At 37.4% G+C, this 22,659-nt stretch overlaps 1 protein-coding gene across 40 annotated transcripts in view; it reads right to left on the minus strand.

Annotated features, from left to right (window-relative positions):
• The window catches only part of ATE1 (arginyltransferase 1), a 188,040-nt gene that overhangs the window by 127,210 nt on the left and 38,171 nt on the right, over positions 1 to 22,659 (minus strand). For 26 of the 40 annotated variants that reach the window (NR_110006.2, NM_001439381.1, NM_001439374.1 and 23 more), the window contains one exon: positions 2,373 to 2,405. The exons of 9 other annotated variants lie outside the window; for them this stretch is intronic. Coding sequence is in view for 30 of the 31 variants with exons in the window: in NM_001439381.1 (NP_001426310.1) it covers positions 2,373 to 2,405 (33 nt within the window). In the remaining variant the exon portion in view is untranslated. Of the gene's footprint in view, positions 1 to 2,372; positions 2,406 to 14,653; positions 14,774 to 21,362; positions 21,524 to 22,659 lie in introns of those variants that run through there. 5 more of the 40 variants (NM_001439386.1, NM_001439383.1, XM_017015601.3 and 2 more) reach the window with 2 other exon arrangements.

Below are 22,659 nucleotides of genomic sequence, written 5' to 3' on the forward strand. Positions count from 1 at the left end.
ACTGGAAGAGTAAAGGATAAAACAACACTTTGTAGTTGTTAACATTTTGTGCATCTCCTTTCTACTTTTCTGTGCACTTAAATTGTGTTTAAACTGAGATCTGCATGTATAATTTTGCATCGTGCTTTTACCTCTCAATATATCAAATGTATTTTATATGTGTTATTCATCAATATATACTCCGAACACATATTCTCCATTTTAATGGTTGTAGGGTGTTCTATCATATGGCTGTGTCATAATTTATTTGACGTGTTCCTGTTGTACATTTAGATTGTTTACAATTTTTTACCATTCATTTTTATGTAAGTTTTGTCCGCATCTTTGATGAACTCTCTGACAGTGATTATTGAACTACAATTACTCAACCACAGGTATGAATGTATATAAAGCCTTTAGTGTATGTGACCAAACTGCTTCCTAGAAAGGATGAAGTTTATAAACATCCCATCTCATTATATCTTGTCAAGCATTCACTTAAAAAATAAGATATCTTGATAGGTTAAAAAAAAATTATAGATCACTGTCATTTTAAACTGCATTTCTTTTATTACTAATAGGAGTAAACATTTAAAACACATTTATTACCATTTGTATTTTATCTTATCAATTACCTGATAAAAATCCAACCACATTTTATGAAAAAGAAATTCATATTAATTGCTTCTAGAAGATCATTACATTAAGTATAACCCTTTCATCATACTTTATCCAAGTTACCTTTTAGCTATATTTGTTTTCATGTACAAAATTATGGATCTTTACATACTCAAATTAATTTTTTCACTCTTTGTTTTTTGATACTTTCCATTGCTTTTGAAGTTAGAAAGTGCTTCCATAACTATAGAGTGGGCTATAAAACTTATATTGTCTTCAACTTTTTTATGGTTTGGTTTTCACTTCACACCTAACTCTTAATTAAAATTCTATCTGCCAGACGCTGTGCTCAGTGTTTGCCACAGATCATCTCATTTAATTTTAATATCCCTGTAAGTATTATTATCTCCATTTTTAGATCAGGGAAAAGGGCTCAAGAGTCAATGACTTGCCCGTGGGCTACTCAGGCCTCTCTCATTTCAAAGCCTAGACTCTTTCCACTATACCACTCTGCTTCCCCGTTGATCCTGGATACTCAGACAATGTGACCAAACCTGGATGGGACTACCCTCTCTGGTCTGGTCCATTTCTCCTGGTGACCACTCAGGCTGGCTACCACACGTTTTCAATGCGCCAGTGTAGGCCACACCACATTATCAGCAATAATAGTTTCAATAATCAAATAAACAAAATGTTATAAAAGCAGAAATGGTCTCAGGAAGGACACAGTATTGAGGCTCAACCCTGAAGACGAATATGATTTGAAGAAGTTGGGAAAGCATAAAATGAAATAAACAATAGGCACAAAGGGAAGGACAAGTGCAAGGCAAGGAACAGAGTCTCATCACGTGGAGCTGAAGCCTAAGAGGAGAACACAAAATAGTGCCATGATGTGACTAGCACAGTTTATAACTGCTCCCATTTCCATCACTTATTTGAGAGGTAGGAATTATTATTTGCATCTAAAAGATAACAAAAATGAGGCTCAGGGCAGTTGTGATTTACCCAATGTCATATAGCTAGTAAGTGAAGGCAAGGTCTTACCCGGTTTCGGTTCTAAGTCCCACCACTTCTTCACATAACTCTGCTTCCACCCTTTCTCTACTTCCTTTTCCAAGTCTTGATGATCATCTACAAGTTTTTCTGCAAATGCAGCTCATAACGATATCTAGTTCTCTAAACATCTAATAGTTTTTCTTTATCTCACAATTTTATCACTGGATTCTCAGTTCTACATTGAAAACCATGATGAGGATTAAATGAAAAAGTGAATGAAGAACCCAGAATATTGCCTTGCTATAACAGCACCTCAATAACTTTGCTCTTCTCTTGTCAACTCATGGATTTTAAAGTGGTCTCTCTAACTGAAACTTCCTTGAAGACAGCCTTTGCCTCTGATTTTTCCAGCTCTCTTTTAATACCATGGCAATTTACAGAACATAAGGCTGCTGTTAAATAAACAGTTACAGGAGTAATGAAGATACAACAAGCCTCTTTAAAATGAAGGACTGATTTCTCTCTACTTATTCAGAAAGAAAATATACTTAAAAAGAGGCAATAACCTGTCATGAAAGTGAATTGCTATTGATATAACTTCTAGAAACTTTTATCCAAAAAAAAAGCCTGCAGTAACTCACTCCATTACTGTTATTGAAGAATATATGTGTCCCACCAAAATGAGCACTCCTAAATTATCAAATAAATGCCTAATGAAAGATATCAACAATGGTGTTCAATTACCAATTCTAATATTAAGGTCAGTGAGTAACTCTTACCTCCAAGGGTGAACTGCAAAGGAATCTTGTGAACTGCAGTCAAATTTGAACAGAATCCATTTCATCCAGTAAACAGACGGCAAAAAGGAACACAGAGAAAAAGAAAAAATTATTATACAATTTTCCAGTAAATCCACTTAAAGTGAACCCAAAGATTATAGAAAATTAATGTGTCCATAAAATTCATCCAGAGAATAGAAAGGTTCAGCCTAGTCCATAGGAGGCACCTATTTGAATTCCTTTCAATAAATATTCTTAAAAATCTATATAAAAGCACATAAAGCACAACAAATCAGTCCTAAAATATTTTGTTTAAATTTTATCTCACAACTCCTACATAATAAAAACATCTTTTAAGGAGAAAAATCAGCAATCTTCCTGACCTAAATTTGACAGGCAAAGTTCAGTAAATGCCAAGAGAAGAAGATATAAACCAATGAGGAGACCAACAAAAGGGGAGAGGAAAGACCAGGGGAGAGGAAAGACCAAGAGAGAGGTCAGGTGAGTGAGAATGAGAAGAAGGTGAGGTTTTAGCTCCACAATTTGGCATCTCATCTGTGGTCTTTACCATGTTCTGATCTTTCTCTTTTCTCAGTCCCATATCCCTTTCCTTCCTTCCTTCTCTCTCCCTTTCTCCCTTCTCTCTCACCTTTCTCTTTCTTTTTATGACACACATAGAGGAATATAGAATATCACCTGAAACTAAATGCTATATGATCAGCATTTAAATAAACATATTATAGAGGGGGATAGAAACAAATGACAAAGCAAATTGTAGTATACCTCTGAAATGAGGACCGTCACATAACTTCATGCATATACATGACGGTAATTCATAATGTTTTCATTGTTGTTATTTACAGATTCAACATTTCAAATCCTTTGAGATTTACTGTTAATAATACCCAAATAATACACACTCTTGATCTTTCTAAATGCAAATTAACTACAATAAAATACAATGACAGGACTGTTTCCAAGCACTCATGAACTTCCTCCCCACAACAAAGCTAGTACTCGCAGGGAATACAAATAACTTGTATTCTCTTTTAGAGTTACACATTGAAATATTTATCAATGAAATTATATGATGTCTGGGATTCCCTTCATGATCATTGGAGAAGTGGGGAGAAAAGTAATATGGAATAGTATAAAATAAAACAGACTAGCTGGGCGTGGTGGCTCACGCATGTAATCCCAGCACTTTCGGAGGCCGAGGCGGGTGGATCACCTGAGGGAGGACAGGAGTTCGAGTCGAGCCTGGCCAACATGGTGAAACCCCGTCTCTAATAAAAATACAAAAATTAGCTGTGTGTGGTAGTGGGCGCCTGTAATCCCAGCTACTTGGGAGGCTGAGGCAGGAGAATTGCTGGAACCTGGTAGGTGGAGGTTGCAGTGAGCCAAGATTGCGCCACTGCACTCCAGCCTAGGAGACTAGGGCGAGACTCTGTCCCAAAAATAAAAAACAAGTAAGATAAAACAGACTAGACATGACATTAAATGAGTGAGGACAAGAGATTAGGGTTCATTACGTGATTCTATCTACTTTGTAAATGTTTGAGGTTTTCCATAACAAAGTTTTAAAAATCTATCACATACTCCCACCAAAAACACTAAATATATTCTTAGAATATCACTAACACATACCAAAGCCATTCAATTAAATAGTATCATTTAGGCCCTAGTTGACAATATATTAAAATGTAAACACTTCAGTAGGAAGCAAAAAAAAAGGAAAGAAAAGAAAAAAACAAAATGCAAACAGTAAGAATTTTTTCTTAATTTAAATATCAATATGCAGTTCCATTACATTAACTCTTAAGATAACTTTCTGAAAGTGCAAAATATACCAAAATTTTAAGTCTTCTTAATGCTGACATGAAGCAAATAATTTTATTGAAATTTAAAATGCAAGCTTTGTGGTCTTGGATTCTTTCATTGCAGCCCAACCTAAGACAATCTCTACCCTTCCTCCCAAGAATAAGAAGTGCCAGTTCAAAGCCTAGCCAGTTTTAACAGTGGAGAAAAATGAGGCATGGTAAATTTTGATTTTAAAATCAGAAATTTGATTCTGAAGGGTTCTACGCTTTTCCCCAAAAGTGAATGTTAATATTATACAAATACTTTTGAATTTATAAGCAAGTCATGTTCAGTAGTAATTGATGCATTAATTAGCATAGAAGCTACTTTAAATAACAATGAAGACAAGAATATAAATGTTGTCTATAAAAACTAATGTCTCCTTGAAGCTTCAACAATTTATACACATTTTTGGCATGTGTATATGTCCCACATTTGTGTCACAGCTTTTTCAAAATAGACCTAAAAAATTCTCATCCTGTTTGAAGCCACCAAAATGTGAAATACATTAAGTAAAAGTTTTCAATCCTAAAGCAGTAAAAACAGAATAACAAATCACAAGACACACATTGACACTCCTATTCCCACGACATGAAAAAGATTTCAAAAAATGCCTTCTCTCTTTTAGAGCATCAGTAAAACCCATTTTTTTTTATGTTTCACTTCAGTTAATTACTTAGTAAATTCCTTCATAATGAAACTGTACATATTATATTCAGTAGAAATGGTAATACTTTGAAAGAACAATTATAAAAAAATGAGACTGCAAAATACATTTTCTATATACACTGCAATTGAAAGCAGAAATAGATTCCTTAACAAACACTATCATGATGTCTGATTACTATTAAAAAGGACTATGGCTCAATTTTGCTGTGAACCTAAAACTACTAAAAAGTAAAGTCTATTGAAAAAAAAAAGACTACGGCTGCACGCAGATGGTTGCACACATTAATATCACTTGTCTGATATGACTATATTAATAGGACTACTTAATAATAAATAATGGGTAAAGTTAACAGTAGTTAAGAGAAAGATCCTTTTCAAAATATTTGGGCGTAATATTGAAAACATAAAAAATGTAATATGTTTTACAAAATATCTGATTCTGCAGATGGGCATATAATTTTCTCATTCTAATAACAATCGTAGGTTAACATAGCCATATTCTTTATCTTCCTATGTACCCACTTTTAAAGATTACTTCTAGGAGTATCTTGATTTAACATAGTTCAATAAAGGAATAACCTGCATGATATTTGGCTTTTTAAACTTAACAGCTAAGTTACCTGTAACAATATTAATAACACTGTCAATTTGATTCACTTGATAAAATTTATAAAAATTCTAAATGCCAATTATTCTGTCAAGTCTTGAATTTTTTTTAAAAAACTGAAGAATTATGGTCTATATTTAGAATCCAGGCATAAAAGGCATCAGTACCATTTTCAAAATCCTCTAGGCCTCTAAAAAGAAAAAGGATACACACAGACAGTGCTCACGCTCCACAGCTTCTTACTGACCTTGCTTTTCTTAAAGTATTCTCATTTACCAAGCCTGGTACCATTGTTCTATTCATCATCGGTAGCCTGACTCATAACATAATCCTTTCTCATTCCCGCCAAAGAAGCACTTAATGCTTACCAAAATTTTCTAAACCATTTTCCAAGTGCACAAAATTGTAGTTAGACCTCCTATTAGTTACAATCAGTAAGTTCTTTTTCTAAGTATAGGGGTAGGGGGAATAAGGACCAAAGAAAATACACTGCTAATTTTGTCAAAAGATCCTAGCAATTTGGATGTAATGACTTCCTTTTTGGTAAGTTAAAAAAAAAAAAAAGGTACCAGAAAAATGATAATTATTTTCTCTTTGTAATATAAACTATTCAACAGATAATTCAAGCCACTTTGCTCCTGAAATGCCTTATTTGTTTAATAAGTAACCGTGGTTAAATTCCTATCTTTTAAAGAAAAAGGAAACACTCAACACCAAAAGGCATTTTTTACAAAGATAAATAACATTTTTTTTTCCTAACCCAAGGAACATCAGTAAGGTGTCACTATTTGCCAAAGTGAAATTCCAAATCTTATAACTAGTCATATCAAATATCCAAAATTTCCTCACATTAACAAAATATACTTCCAGTTATATTTCCTGGGCTTTTCACTTATTGTACCCTACTTCCACTTACTGTCCTATAATTTGTCAGGGGACAGGTCTGATTATTTTAGATTATAATCTAATAAAACCTTTATTTAAAAATTTTGCAATTATCAATCTAAATTACACCTCATTGTAAAATACTAAATTCTATCAGGAATTTGGAAGCCTTAAGTCAGTTACGACTCTAAATTATGTTAACTTAACATTTTAGACTCCCTTCCCATCCCTGTTCAATTTCTGGCACATATTTACACTATAAATAACTGGTAGTTCTAAGGCAGTGCAAACTAGGTTTTATGTAAAGAATGTCTCTGATAAATCTACAACTCTAAGAAATTAATTTGATTCCACAAAAGAAAAAAGTTTTATTGTTTCATATTTCATTGCAGACAAATAAAACCTTCAAAGCAGCCAAAAGACACAGCTAGCGCCCATTTAAAAAGTCATCAAAAGAATGAGAATTAAATCTGTATTTAACAAGGAGTGGAAGCTAAGGTTTGAGAAGATCTTATTTAACCTATTAGTGGGGAGTAAAAAGGGCAGATTCAAGTAATTCCCTAAATTCATTTTTTTATAGCTATTCTCTATCCCAATTGCAAGCAACGTAGCAGAAAGGATTGTTTGTGCTACCTCTTCTGATTACATTTGGCACCTTAGACATTAAGATTCAAAACATCTTAAAAGATGACAACAAGGCCGGGTGCAGTGGTTCACACCTGTAATCCCAGCACTTTGGGAGGCCAAGGCAGGTGGATCACGAGGTCAAGAGATCAAGACCATCCTGGCTAACACGGTGAAACCCCGTCTCTACTAAAACATACAAAAAATTAGCCAGGCGTGGTGGCTCACGCCTGTAATCCTAGCACTTTGGGAGGCCAAGGCGGGTGGATCACGAGGTCAGGAGATCGAGACCATCCTGGCTAACACAGTGAAACCCCATCTCTACTAAAAGAAAAAAAAAAAAAATACAAAAATTAGCCGGGCACGTAGTCCCAGCTACTCAGGAGGCTGAGGCAGGAGAATGGCGTGAACCCAGGAGACGGAGCTTGCAGTGAGTCGAGACCGCACCACTGCACTCCAGCCTGGGCGACAGACTGAGACTCCGTCTCAAAAAAAAAAAAAAAAAAAAGACAACAAAAATCTTATTTACACTCCAATATAGTTAAACCTTTGTCTTCTGAAGCATTATATCTCCTTTTTTGCCTGAGGATTAGAATCTTCCTAGGTCTACCCACTTAAGTAATTTGGGCCTTGAGGGTTTTTTTTTGGTTTTTTTTTGTTTTTTTTTTTTTGATAGGAAGTCTTGCTCTTGTCCCCCAGGCTGGAGTGCAATGGCACAACCTCGGCTCACTGCAACCTCCGCCTCTCAGGTTCAAGCGATTCTCCCACCTCAGCCTCCCGAGTAGCTAGGATTACAGGCGCCCACCACCACGCCTGGCTAATTCTTGTATTTTTAGTAGAGACGGGGTTTCACCATGTTGGCTAGGCTGGTCACGAACTCCTGACCTCAGGTGATCTGCCCGCCTCGGCCTCCCAAACTGCTGGGATTACAGGCGTGAGCCACCGCGCCCAGCCAGGTCTTGGTTTTTGATGTGTAAAAGGATTTCAGCCAAACCACCTTCCCCAGGTGGTATCCTGTGGCACGGCAGTCTCCTGAGACACTCTCTAAAAAACGATTCCATGGCCACGTAAGTCTGGGAAATGCTCTTACTATATAGCGGCCTCACCTCCCCTTCCTCCTTACCTTAGTGAATTGCAGGCTACACTGATATATTAAAGGCTTTTCACATTCCTGTATTTACAAACAAAAAAACTCTTCTACTTCAACCTCAGTCAAGTGTTTCCCAAAGTTACATGACTAGAGATTTTTGTTTTTAATTTCATATAATATCTATTAACATTCCACAAAATCCATTTTCCACAAAGCTCATTTTAGGCAACACTGGTCCCTACCAGCTCTGATTTGTTTTCCCCAATCTGTGCTTACTAGAATTGCTCACTGAAAATACTCAGTGTGGCACTCTCAAAAATGGCAGAAAATCCAATACTATCAATGAATTATTCGCCCTTTTTTTCCCCCATTTAAGAGTTCTGGTCCCTACCCAATAATATTCCTGGTGATGTTATGGGCAAATGCTCAAAGCAATGCCACAGATGTACTATAATAAAATGCCTCTTGAAAAATTCTAGTATCTGCCCAGAATCACAAAAGCCCATAAAACACTAATATGCAGAGCTAGTTATAAATGTTTTGCTCTAAATGTTGATTTCAAAGTTTGCTAACACATATCCTAATTAATGAGCTACTTCACTAAATATCTTTTTACTATTTTTTGCACCTTTCTCCCTAATTTCTAACAGCAACAGGGATTTGGATTGTAAGTTAGGTTATTCACTAATATCTACCTCCTACGTTCACTATAATAATCATCATATATTTTATAAATAGAAATGGTGGCTCTATACTTAACACCAATGATATACATATGAACTTGTTAAAATATCATTTATTTACTACCTTCAAGCCTAGTTTGTTTCTAAAATTAAACTTTTAAGTTTGCAATATGAATCTATAAAATCCAGATAACAGTATAACAATTCTATATCTTAAAGAGCTACACTCAAAAAGAATGGAATCTTAAAAAATTGTGTTGCTGCCGGGCGCGGTGGCTCACGCCTGTAATCCCAGCACTTTGGGAGGCCGAGGCGGGCGGATCACGATGTCAGCAGATCGAGACCATCCTGGGTAACACAGTGAAACCCCGTCTCTACTAAAAATACAAAAAATTAGCCGGGCGTGGTGGCGGGCGCCTGTAGTCCCAGCTACTCGGGAGGCTGAGGCAGGAGAATGGCGGGAACCCGGGAGGCGGAGCTTGCAGTGAGCCGAGATAGCGCCACTGCACTCCAGCCTGGGCCACAGAGCGACACTCCAGTCTCAAAAAAAAAAAAAAAAATTGTGTTGCTTTCCAACATTATCAGCAGCAAACAAAATCATCATAAACAGAGTTCATATAAAATCACAAAGAAAAACATGTTCTTGGCAAAATCATCAAACAGAACACCCACCAAAGAAAGACTCTGGTTCTGGTGGCATTCTGTACTGATTTCAGAATCCTTTGCTCCTCTAACAGGAAGATCATTTGCCATAGGACGCTAATGACCTAAGGCCTATATGTTAATTGCATTAAATAAATACCAGCACAAAATACTAAAACATCTCATAAGAAGTATGGAAATAATTTTACAAGTATGTTTAAGAGAAAAAAACACCTTCTGGTTTTTTAAAGTAAACACTAAGGCCGAAATTTTATACAAGAGAAATCTTTACATCTGTTGCTGACATTCTTGATCTGCAAGCTAAGTGTTTAGAAATGTACCAAAACTCAAAGGCTTTCAAAATTAGATTCTTCCAAAATAATATTTTCCTAGGTATGGAGTATAGTTATTTCCAGGTTGGAAAAAGATATTTAGAATATATATATATATCAAAAGACTCATATCAGAGAATATAGAGAACTCTCACAGTCAATAAGGAAAAAACACAAGAATCCAACTTTAAAAAGGTAGGGGGGCAAACTCTTAAAGACTTAACAAAACGGAGCATATTCAAATGGCCAATAAATACGTAAAAAGCTCCCTATTTAGTCATCAGCAAATAGCAAATTAAAACCCCAATACAATACTACTATCCACTCACCAGAAAGGCTAAAACTAAAGCATCAGAAAACACCATATGTTAATGAGGATGTGGCACAACGAGCATGTTTATATGGTACAAGCACTCTGGAAAACTGGCCACATTTCTATAAATGCTGAAGATGTTTACTCCATGGCTGAGCAGTGTAACTCCCAGGTATATATCTAAGAGAAATTAGTGTTATGTCCATCAAAAGATACGTACAAGAATGTTCATAGCAACTTTATTCGTAACAGGCAAAAGCTGTCAACACATATGCCCAGCAATAGTAGAACAGATTAATAAATTATGCTGTATCCACACAATGGAATACTACATAGCATTGAAAGAAAACTGCTACTATATGTCACATGGATTTCACACAGAATGTTAAGTAAAAGAAGACTGGAGAGTGTATGCTGTATGATAAATTTATATGAAGCTAAAGGACAGGCAGAATTAATCTACAGTGATAGAAGGGTAGTTAACCTCTGGGTAGGAAAATACTGACTGGGAAGGGCCACGAGGGAGCCTTCTAGCATGCTGAAAATGTTCTCTCTTAATCCGAGCAGTGACTATAAGAGCATATACATAAGTAAAAATTTGGCCAGGCGTGTTGTTTCATACCTGTAATCCCAGCACTTTGGGAGGCTGAGGCGGGTAGACTGCTTGAGGCCAGGAGTTCGAGACCAGCCTGGTCAACATGGCAAAATCCTGTCTCTACTAAAAATACAAAAATTAGCCGGCCATGGTGGTGCACACCTATAATCCCAGCTTCTTGGGAGGCTGAAGTACGAGAATTGCCTGAACTCAGGAGGCAGAGGTTGCAGTGAACCGAGATCACACGACTGCGCTCCAGCCTGGGCGACAGAGGGAGACTGTGTCTCAAAAAAAAAAGAAAAGAAAAGAAAAAAAAATCAACAAGCTATACACCTAAGATTTATGCACTTTACTACACTATAAACTTAAAAATTAATTTTAAAAAAGGAAATAAAAAGAAGAAAAAACTATAGTTCCACCTGGGGATTTTTCCTAAAATCAGTGAAAGCACACAATTTGACAGCTAAGATATATCTTAGCAATTATCTAGTTCACCTCTTTTACATACTGAGATCCAAAAATGTTACATTATTTTACAGACAGCAAAATTACCATCAGAACCTCAAAACCTTTTCCAATCTATGGTTTCCCTTCATTATACCAAGGACTTAACAATACCATTAACCAGAACTCAACAAGAAAGCAATAAAATCCAGAGATACCAACAAGAAGAGTCTCAGCTTAACTAAAATAACACTAAAATAAGGTGACAAATAGGTGTTTAGGTAACAAGAAAATAAGTCTACAACAAAATACACAATTTTATGATACTGAAAAATTCAGCTAACAAATGGCAAAAAGTATAGGTGGGGATTTTTTTAAAAAAACTTTCACAAGCAACAGAAATCATCAAGACAGATGCCACCATGATTTGTGTTCCGGCCTCATCAGTGTCCCGGATGTTTTTTGAAAACATCAGGTACTCTCCCAACTACCTGAAATGTACTTCCCCCAGCTATGCACAAAGTGCATGCTCTTTATAGAGGTGTCTGTCAACGAGCTTCCTTTATCTGAGCCTCTTCCTGATATCCTTATCTATTCTTACCTTCCACCACGCTGTCCCTCACTCTATCCCTCCATGTATCTTGCTAGCACACATTACTCTGGCACTATATTGCATACTTATTATTTATCTTCCTCTCTAACACATAGTCTCCCTGAGGGCAAGAACTTTATCTTGTTCCCTATGCTACATCCTCAGTCCAAAATAATGCCTGGCACATAGTAGGGACTCAAATATTTGCTACTTAAATGTCTACATGCATTCAACTACTCGTGAATTCAACGAATAAATGCATCCATTCATTTGTGAATGGGAGTAATTCATCAATGAGTAAATGAATATTCATAATCGTTTCTTTCTCCCATGTTTCTTCACAGCCCCTGGCTACTCTATAGAATTAAGTCATCAGGTCACGGTGAGATTCCATAAACAGAGAGAAGCAGTCACCAGTAAGGAAGACCCAGTAATGCTGAAGTAAAAACCTGTCCCCTTCTTGTTAGACCTTCTTGGGAACATCCATGTCCTCCAAGCACTAGCTTCCTGCAGAAAAACTTCCAGCACATACCATTTGTGAGGAGCAAGGAATACATACCAAGAAATATGGAGGACAAAACTAGGTATCACTGAAATTACACTAGGCTAGGCAAAATCTTTCAAATTAACCTTAAAAAATTGGGTGTCTTCCAAAAATCCAAATAACATAAATTAGGGATAAATAGAAAATACCACAAAACCAAGAAATCAAAATTAGCAGGAAACCACAATAAAGACAAATTTGTTTTTAATGCCATCTGGTCAAAGTAATAAAAATGGAATATGTTATTAGCTATTTGATTATTATTAAGAATAAATGACTATATTAACATAAACATATTGATAATGGTTACAGGTACTGCTTGCATAATTTACCAGACCAACTAATGTAAAGCAAGTTTGAATACGCCCACATCTTGTCAGGTACATGTATTACTAATGATCTTTAACATTTTAACATCAATGCAATGCTATGAAATGACACTTATATTTTAAATTTTATTTGTGGGCTAAAACATACAAGAACCAAACATGTCTTATTCATCTATGCATCCCTAGTATCTACCACAGTGAGTGGAACATGCCCCGAATTAAATGATTATATGACTGCTTGAATAGAAGAATCACATTCTTCCACAGTCCAGGAAAAAGTAATATGAAAGCCATTACAAAATTTTGAGCTATTTCTGGAATAAATGTCACATAAAAGCCCACAAATATATATATACATATATATGTATATATATATAAATATTTAGAGACCTATACAAATATATTCCCTATTTTTACATATTCTTAAGGGCAGAATTATACTCTGGATAAATAACCATATGTAATATATGTTTTACTTTTATAATTAACTACTACTGACTAGATGAAAATCAACTGCTTTTTAATCATACAGGCAGTTACTTAAAATTATTTGGCATATATAATGAATGACCATAGTGAAAATACAAACTTTCCTTGTTTAGACTAGCCATCAAAAGGTACTATTGTTCACTTGTCAAGTGATTACCAGGAGGTCATAAAACTTGATGCTCTTCAGTTTTAATGTGAAAAACAGACCTAAAATACAAAAGCTAAAGACAAATGGCACTCACAGCAAAGTTGTTTCTATCACATGAGCTTTGCACTCACTAAAATGTGCTTAACTCATTGTATGTAAATTGCTCAACACTCTCACTCAGGAAATTAAGAGCAGCTTTTACTTATTATAGTAGAACAACTGTCAAAAGCTTATGACATCATTTGAATTTTCCTTTTTGCTTCATGTCACAAGTTTCAAGAACACTATTTTCTTCCCAAGTAGCTTTCAATTTGGCAACAACTGAATTCTCTCTCCAGCTGTTTTTTTAAAAGTAGTCAACTCAGCTGCTCATTCATTCAAAACATGTTCACTGGGCTTCTACTCCATTCCAGACACTCTGCTGGGCATTGTGTATTTCTTCAGACTCTTGCATACAGTATTTTTATAAGTTAGTGTAACGAGCACAAAGTATGCTATGGATTACAGTACCCCAATATAGCTAACTTATCAAAACGAGAGATCTGCTCCTGTATGAACAAGAAGCTCTACCACCAGAATAAAAAAACAGGACACCTATAGCTCCTTTGTCTCCAGTTCTAGGTAAAGCAATTAAGAAATACACGTATTTTAATAGAAACTAGGCACTAGAGCGTGACTGTAGTCCCAGCTACTTGGGAAGCTGAGGCAGGAGAATCGCTTGAGCCCAGGGATTCAAGGATATAGTGCACAGTGATCATAATACTTACAAATAACCAACTGCACTTCAGCCTGGTCAACATAATGAGATCCTGTCTCTTAAAAAAAAAAAAAAAAAAAGGAAAGAAAATCACAAATAAATCTTTTCCCAAATGATATCTTTTACAGGTTTTATGTGGTATAATAGATGAATCAACATATTAAAAATTCTTTACAAGTTTTTTGTTTTGCTTTGTTTTGTTTTTTAAAGAGTCTTGCTCTGTCACCTAGGCTGGAGTGCAGCGGCACGACCTCGGCTCACTGCAAACTCCGCCTCCTGGGTTCAAGCAATTCTCCTGCCTCAGCCTCCTGAGTAGCTGGGACTACAGGTGCACGTCGCCAAACCCGGCTAATTTCTTTTGTATTTTAGTAGAGATGGGGTTTTGCCATGTTGCCCAGGATGGTCTCAAACTCCTCAACTCAGGCAATCCAGCCACCTCGGCCTCCCAAAGAGCTAGGATTACAGGCGTGAGCCACCGTGCCCGGCCTACAGGTTTTCTGTGGCATAAAAGGAAAAATTAAAATATTAAAAATTCTCAAAGACTAAAATTATATGTTGATAAATCAAACTGAGTGGTTTTGAATATTACTTCTTTTTTTATTTGAATAGGCTGATTTTAATATTAAAATGTAAAACATATGTTCTTTTAATTCAGACGAATATTTGAATTAAAAAGAAAAACAAAACAACCAAGAAAAATAAAATTTCATGTGCAAATGCTGACTGGGTAACCAGAAGGATCACTTACTTGCCCTTGACCTCAGGATCTCTGACAGTTCCTAATAACATCATCCAGACCTAGTAACAAAAGTTTAGTCAATGATTATTTGGCCAAGCACCTTTACAAGTATAGCCTTATGTAATTATCACAACAAATTGTGTTGTATACAAATGAGGAACCTGGAGTGAAGAGAGCTGAGCAATTGGGAACTTGCTGAAAGCCACACAGGTAGTAGGTAGAGGAGATGAGAGTTAAGGCAGAAATGATTGATTAGAGTTCACATTTTCACCCTGGATGCTACTCAGCCTTCATGTCAACAATATCCTGACCCAAAATGTATGGAACTGTAAACACAGCAAGCACTGTTTGGCAGTACTGATATCACCTTCACACCATTCAATCCAAAGAGTCTATCACTGGGCACATTTGTTCTCAGGCAGGAGGTTAATCAAGAATCAGCATCCATTTCATGCCAAGCATTCCTTTTGACAGCTAACATCCCATTTCATGGTCTTAATCCTCAACTTTCAGAAAACAATGTATGTTCAAATTAATTGTAATAATTATTGTTATATAAAGCTAAACCTTAAGCAGAGGTCAATTATCAAGCTACTCCAGAACTTCAGACATTGAAATCAAATACAAAACCCCAGAAAAAAACAATAGAAGTGAAAATGAGGACTCAAAAAGGCACCTCCTAATGCTTATATTCCCAACTTACAGAAGAGTCCTGCAAGCTCCTTTTCCCACTTTCCTCTTGACTGTAACTTTACTAACAATAAACTTGGTGATCTAGTTTCCAAGCCAATAATCGATACTTCCAACCCTCCTTTATACCTGCTCTATTTTTCCCACAACACCCCCTGCTAACCTTCTGTATAATTTACTGATGTATTATGCTTATTGTTTAATGACTATCTCTGACCATTCTCCCCCAACCACACCCCCAGAATGCAAGTTCCACAAGAGCAAGAGATCTTTATCTGATTTACTCACTGATTAAACAGTTACCAAATGCCTCGACAGTACTTAGGTGCTCCATATTTTAACGAGCATATTAAGAAATTACAAATTAGAAAGGGAACAAATGCTAATACTAGACAAACTAACACAAGAATTGTCAGCAAGAAAGAGAAAGGATAAAGGGGACAACAGAGTAACTTTAGAGATAAAAGCAGTAGCCCATGGCACACTGAAATACGACAAGAGCAGAAGAATATTCCTAGGAAAATATGAGAGCCATTATCAACAGGCAAGTCCTGCTCGGCATTCTGTTTGAGAAGCTGAGGAAGAACACAAGACATTTTGGGAACATTGTCATTTTAAATTATTAGAGTACATAATATCTCAGCAATAAAAAACGTTTCCAATGCTTGGAAAATTTGCTTACAATGAACACTTCACTCACTGATGTCAATCACTCCATATTTTACTGAGGCCCACTTTAACTTTTACAAATGGCAACATCATGTCTAGTATAAAAAGCACTGCAGACTGGGGTGCGGTGGTTCACGACTGGAATCCCAGCACTTTGGGAGGCCAAGGCGGGTGGATCACTTGAGGTCAGGAGTTGGAGACCATCCTGGCCAACATGGTGAAACCCCATCTCTACCAAAAATACAAAAATTAGCCGGGCGGTAGTGGCGAGCACCTGTAATCCCAGCTACTGGGGAGTCTAAGGCAGAAGAATTGCTTGAGCCTCGGAGGCAGAGGTTGCAGTGAGCCGAGATGGCACCACTGCACTCCAGTCTGAGCGACACAGTGAGACCCAGACTCAAAAAAAAAAAAAAAAAAAAAAAAAAGCACTGCAATTTCAGGACATTGCTCTGCCACTAACTACTCATGTTACCTTAGGCAAATTAATTAATTCTTTAAATATGAGACATTCATCTATATAATCCTAAAATCCTTTCACCTCCAATGTTGTATGATGGTATGATTTTGTGATCTGAGACAAGTTTTAGGAAGTTACTGACCGAAAGGAACTTTGAGTTAAATGTTGGCTTGGCACAGTAGCTCATGCCTGTAATCTCAGCACTTTGGGAGGATCATTTGAGGCCAGGAGTTCAAGACCAGGCTGGGCAACACAGCAAGGTCTCCTCTCAAAAAAAAGGCCAGGTGTGGTGGCGTATGTCTGTAGTGCCAGCTACTCAGGGGACCAAGGCAGGAGAGACTGCTTGAACCCTGGAGTTCAAGGCTGCCGTGAGCTATGATGACGACACTGCACTCCAGCCTGGGTGACACAGCAAGAGCCTATGTCAAACAATGAAAAAGAGGGAGGAAGGGAAAAGAGTGGAAGGGAGAGAAGAAACGGAAGGAAAGAAAGATGAATGTTCCCAGTGCTAGTTTTGACTCCACCCCTTTGGATCTCCCCAAAAAGGAACATGCTTGAGATATAACAGTGTCTCTCTCCAATAGTAAATGACTGAAAAGCTTTGGTCATTTAACTACTATTAGTTATAAATGTCTTTACTACTATTAGTAATAAATGTCTTGTCACGGACCTTGACACAGACTACAATACACAAGTGTTCCCTGACTTAGGAGTTGCTTAAAGAAACTGGCTTCCTTAATTGAATTATACAAATAATTGCCTAAGCTCTCTACTTTATTCAAGTAAGTTAGCCTGGCTTTAAAAAATGTGCTTTAGGCCAGGCACAGTGGCTCATGCCTGTAATCCCAGCACTTTGGGAGGCCAAGGCAGGTGGATCACCTGAGATCCAGAGTTTAAGACCAGCCTGGCCAACATGGTGAAATCCTGTCTCTACTAAAAATACAAAAATCAGCCAGGTGTGGTGGCACGTGCCTGTAATCCCAGTTACTCGGGAGACTGAGGCACAAGAATTGCTTGAACCTGGGAGGTGGAGGTTGCCGTGAGCCAAGATCATGCCATTACATTCCAGCCTGGGCAACAGAGCGAGACTCCGTCTCAAAAAAAAAAAAAAAAAAAAAAAAAGAGGCCGGGCGCGGTGGCTCACACTTGTAATCCCAGCACTTTGGGAGGCCGAGGCAGACAGATCACGAGGTCAGGAGATCGAGACCATCCTGGCTAACACGGTGAAACTCCATCTCTACTAAAAAACACAAAAAATTAGCCAGGCATGGTGGTGGGCGCTTGTAGTCCCAGCTACTCGGGAGGCTGAGACAGGAGAATAGCATAAACCTGGGAGGTGGAGCTTGCAGTGAGCCAAGATCGCGCCATTGCACTCCAGCCTGGGTGACAGCAAGACTCCGTCTCAAAAAAAAAAAAAAAAAAACATGCCTAAAGCATTTCAAAATGTGGCTGGGTGCAGGGGCTCACACCTGGAATCCCAGCATTTTGGAGGGCCAAGGCAGGCAGGCAGGCGGATCACTTGAGTCCAGAGTTCCTGACCAGGTTGGCCAACATGGTGAAACCCTGTCCCTACTAAAAATACAAAAATTAGCCGGGCTTGGAGTCATGCGCCTGTAGTCCTAGCTACTTGGGAGGCTGAAGCACGAGAATCGCTTGAACCTGGGAGGTGGTTGTTGCAGTGAATCGAGATTGTGCCACTGAGCTTTAGCCTTGGCAACAGAGGGAAAGACTGTCTCTAAATAAATAAATAAATATTAAATAAATATTAAAAAGTTTCAAAATGTTCGGATCTTACTATCATTCTGTTAATTATATGCCAGAGTTAAATATTTATAAAATACAGGTTAAGTATCCCTAATCCAAAAATCTGAAATCTGAAAGCTCCAATGGGCATTTCCCTTGATTGTCATGTTGGCACTCAATAAGTTTCTAATCTTGGAGCATTTTTGGATTTCAGATTTTCACATAAGTGATACTCAACCTGTAGCACCAGCAGGTTCTCAGGTGGCACTGCTTTGCTCAACATCATTTTGTTATAACTTCAATGAGTATGAGACCAGCTTGGGCAACATAGCAAGATCCTGCTTCTACAAAAAATAAAAAACAAAAACCAAAAATACATTGATGATTTAAAAAAAAAAAAAACCCACCTCCTGGCCAGGGCTACTGTCTGTGTGGAGCTTGCAATTCCCCCCACATCTGTGTGGGCTTGCTCTGGGTCTTCCAGTTTCCTCCCACATCTCACACGTGTGCACGTTAGGTTCACTGCTGTGTATACATGGTCCCAGTGTGAGTGTGGGTGTGTGCGTGAATATGCCCTGTGGTGGAACAGACTCCTGTCCAGGGTGAGTGTCCAACCTGCGCCCTAAGCTTCCAGAATAGGCTACAGCTCCCCGCCACCTGAACTGAAATCACTGGGTTAATAATATCTTACTTATTTTTATTAATCTTTCTTAAATGTATGTATAGCTCACATTTATTTCAATGTTTAATATTAGAAGTGCTTTGGTTTTTATTTAGAAGTCTGGTGATGTTTTGTGACCAGAAATATGCTGTAGGAACTTAACTCTTGTTTATATCAATTAGCCTAGGGTAAAACTGGTTTCCTTGTATGTCATTTCACCTATGACCACAGTTTCCAAGAACTATTAATGACATTAAGTGAGAACTTACTGTGTGTGCCTATATATGATTGTCTGGTCTTTGCCTAATTGGAGAATGTCAATTCTCTAATACACTGAATAATTTTCTAAATATAAGTTACTACTTTCATATACAAAAATGTAAGCCATTAAGAGGAAAAAAAATAAAGATGAAAACTTCTCGAGATTAAAGTCCAGAAAATATTTAAAACCTTTAACAAGCAAAGAATCACTTGTAATTATCCTTTTAATGCCTCAATGAAAATTACAATAAATGATAGAAAAAGAAGCCTTTATTCATACTTCTTGGGCTGTGAACACACAACTTGCAGAGAGCAAGCTGAGCCAAGATGAAAGAGCAAAGGGTTCTCGATCTACACCACCACCTGGTGGCGGAGTGAGACAGTGGCGCAGCTTCCACCGTCTCCTTTCAAGTCTCCATGGGGTCAGAATGGACTCATCACGACCTTTCCTTTCCACACTCATTGTCTAAACAAGTGAATATACATACACCTGAATATAAGATAACTATCCTCAAAATAAGCATCCCTCAGAAGTAGATATCGCCTCCTATTTCCATCTCTCATAGGAAGTTCCCTGAACTAATTTAAAAAACATTACAGGCTGGGCACAATGGCTCACACCTATAATGCCAGTACTTTAGCAGGTTGAGGCAGGAGGATCAGGTGATGCCAGGTGACCAGCCTGGACAACACAGCAAGACGCCCCCCTACAAAAAAAAATTTAAAAATTAGCTGGATGTAGTGATGTGCACCTGTACTCCTAGCTACTTAGGAGGCTGAGGTGGGAAGACTGCTTGAGTCCAAGAGTTTGAGGTTACAGTGAGCTATGATCACGCCACTTGCACTCCAGCCTGGGCAACAGAGCAGGACTCTGTCTCAAAAAACGATAAGAAGAAAAATAAAAAATAAAACAGATGGCAATGGATTATAGCACTTCATATAAGGCCATGAGCCTACAATGCTATCAGAAGGAAAAAAGATGGTGAGAGGTAGGGAGTTGTGAATACAGAGAGAAATCTCTTCTTTACAGAGAGAAAGAATTTCAGCTAATAAGTGTAGAAACAATAATACAATTAGACAAATCACCATTTTGCTACCTCTCCCACCTCTCCATAATAACTACTTCAGGCAAGGATCATCAAAGATGCTAAAACAAATGGACAACAGGTTATTGGGAAAGAGGTTATTCCTCCTACCTCAGAAATATTATCATAATAAGGGTATAACATGCCTTTAAAATGAGAAGATCTAATTACAAAGAAAAAAATATAAGAATAATAAAGAGGCTGGGCGCAGTGGCTCACGCCTGTAATCCCAGCACTTTGGGAGGCCAAGGTGGGCGGATCCCAAGGTCAGGAGATCGAGACCATCCTGGCTAACACAGTGAAACCCTGTCTCTTCTAAAAATACAAAAAATTAGCCGGGCGTGGTGGCAGGCGCCTGGAGTCCGAGCTACTCGGGAGGCTGAGACAGGAGAATGGCATGAACCTGGGAGGCAGAGCTTGCAGTGAGCCGAAATCACGCGACTGCACTCCAGCCTGGGCGACAGAGCAAGACTCCATCTCAAAAAATAAATGAATAATAATAATAATAAAGAGAGCTGATGGCTGTTATTCAACCAAGTGAGCAAACCAAGTGACAACAGACTTAAATGTCCCCATCACAAATGAAGGACAACCGACATTACATGCTGCTTGATATGATACAGTAAAAGAGTAAGACTGGCACAAGCCCTAGAGGAAACTGACAATATGAAAAAAGCTGAACACCTGCACACCCTACGACACAGCATTTCTATTGGGCACACATCAAATAGAAATGTGTCCGTATGTTTACCAAAAGGTATGTATAAGGATGTACATATGCAGCACTTTTCACGGTAGCCTCATACCAGGAACTACTAAAATTCCCACCAACAGTAGAAAGGGATAAATTCTGGATAGTCATACATAAAACACTATACAGCGATGAGAGTTAACAGTCTACTACAACAGGCAAAATAAAATAGATAACTCACACTACCATAATGTTGGGCAAATGAAACCACACTCAAAAGAGTAGGATTCTACTTACATTAAGTATAAAACAGGCACAACTAATCTGTAGTTTTACAAGTCAAGAAAATACCGGTAGTGATGGAAAAGAACAAGCAGGGGCTTCTGAGGAGTTAGTAGTAATCAACTTATTTATTTATTTATTTTTTTGAGACAGAGTCTCATTCTGCATCCAGTCTGGAGTTCAGTGGCACCATCTCAGCTCACGGCAACCTCTGCGTCCTGGGTTTAAGCGATTTTCCCGCTTTAGCTTCCCGAGTAGCAATTTCTTAATCTAACAGTGAGTTCAATTTGTGAAATTTCATCTATCTGAACACTTATGCATACTTTTCTGTATATACGTTATACTTCAATAAAAAACTTTTTTTAAGTACACATAACCTACACCTAAAAACATTAAACTTTTAAGAACACTTAAGAATCTGATTACTAGATAACAACAAAAACCGAACTGTGATACGGAACATTCTAAAGATAATTGGGTTAAATGTCAAAGTCATTAAATGAAAAAATCAAAAAAGATTACAGAAACAGAACAGTCATAAACATAACATAAACACAATACAGTTCATGTAAAATGTGTGAACCGTGACTGGATCCTATTTTCATTCATCTATAAAAGCTATTTTCTATTTTGGGGCCAGGCACAATAGCTCATGCCTGTAATCCCAACACTTTGAGAGGCCGAGGCAGAAAAATTGCTTGAGGCCAGGAGTTCAAGACCAGCCTGAGCAATATAGCAAGACTCTACCTCTACAAAAGGAAAAAAATTAAAAATTAGCCTGGCATGGTGGTCCACTCCTGTAGTCCTAGCTACTCAGAAGGGAGACTGAGGCAGAAGGATCACTTCAGCCCAGAAGTTTAAGGCTGCAGTGAACTATGACCATGCTACTGTACTCCAGCCTGGGTGACCGACCAAGACCTTGTCTCTTAAAAAAAAAAAAAGTAAAGGTATTTTTGGTACACTTGGAACATCTGAATATGGACTGTGATGTTATAGAATTTCTACAGTTTTTAAAGAGTAAATATTGTGGTTATATAAGAGAATATACTTATTCTTAGGAGACGTATGCTTAGCACATCCAGGCAAAATGTCATAACATGCACAACTTTCAAATGGTTCAAGAGAGAAAGATAAAGTAAACCTAACAAAGTTGTTAACAACTTGTCAACATTGGTGAATGGAGTCTGGGTGTTCATTACATTCTTTCAACTTTTCTGTTCAAAAACTCCAAAAGTTTCAAAGTAGAAAGTTAAGGAAAAGAAGTCAATATTACAGAAAAAAATTAAGAAGCTGCCCTAGAATAAAAGAATCTAAAACGATATCACAAAATGTAATAAACTTTGATTAAACACTATATCTTTTAAAATGGGAAAATGTAAAATAAGCACTAAATAGTAGATGATATT

This window comes from Homo sapiens, chromosome 10 (assembly GCF_000001405.40).
Source record: "Homo sapiens chromosome 10, GRCh38.p14 Primary Assembly".
Taxonomy (NCBI): domain Eukaryota; kingdom Metazoa; phylum Chordata; class Mammalia; order Primates; family Hominidae; genus Homo; species Homo sapiens.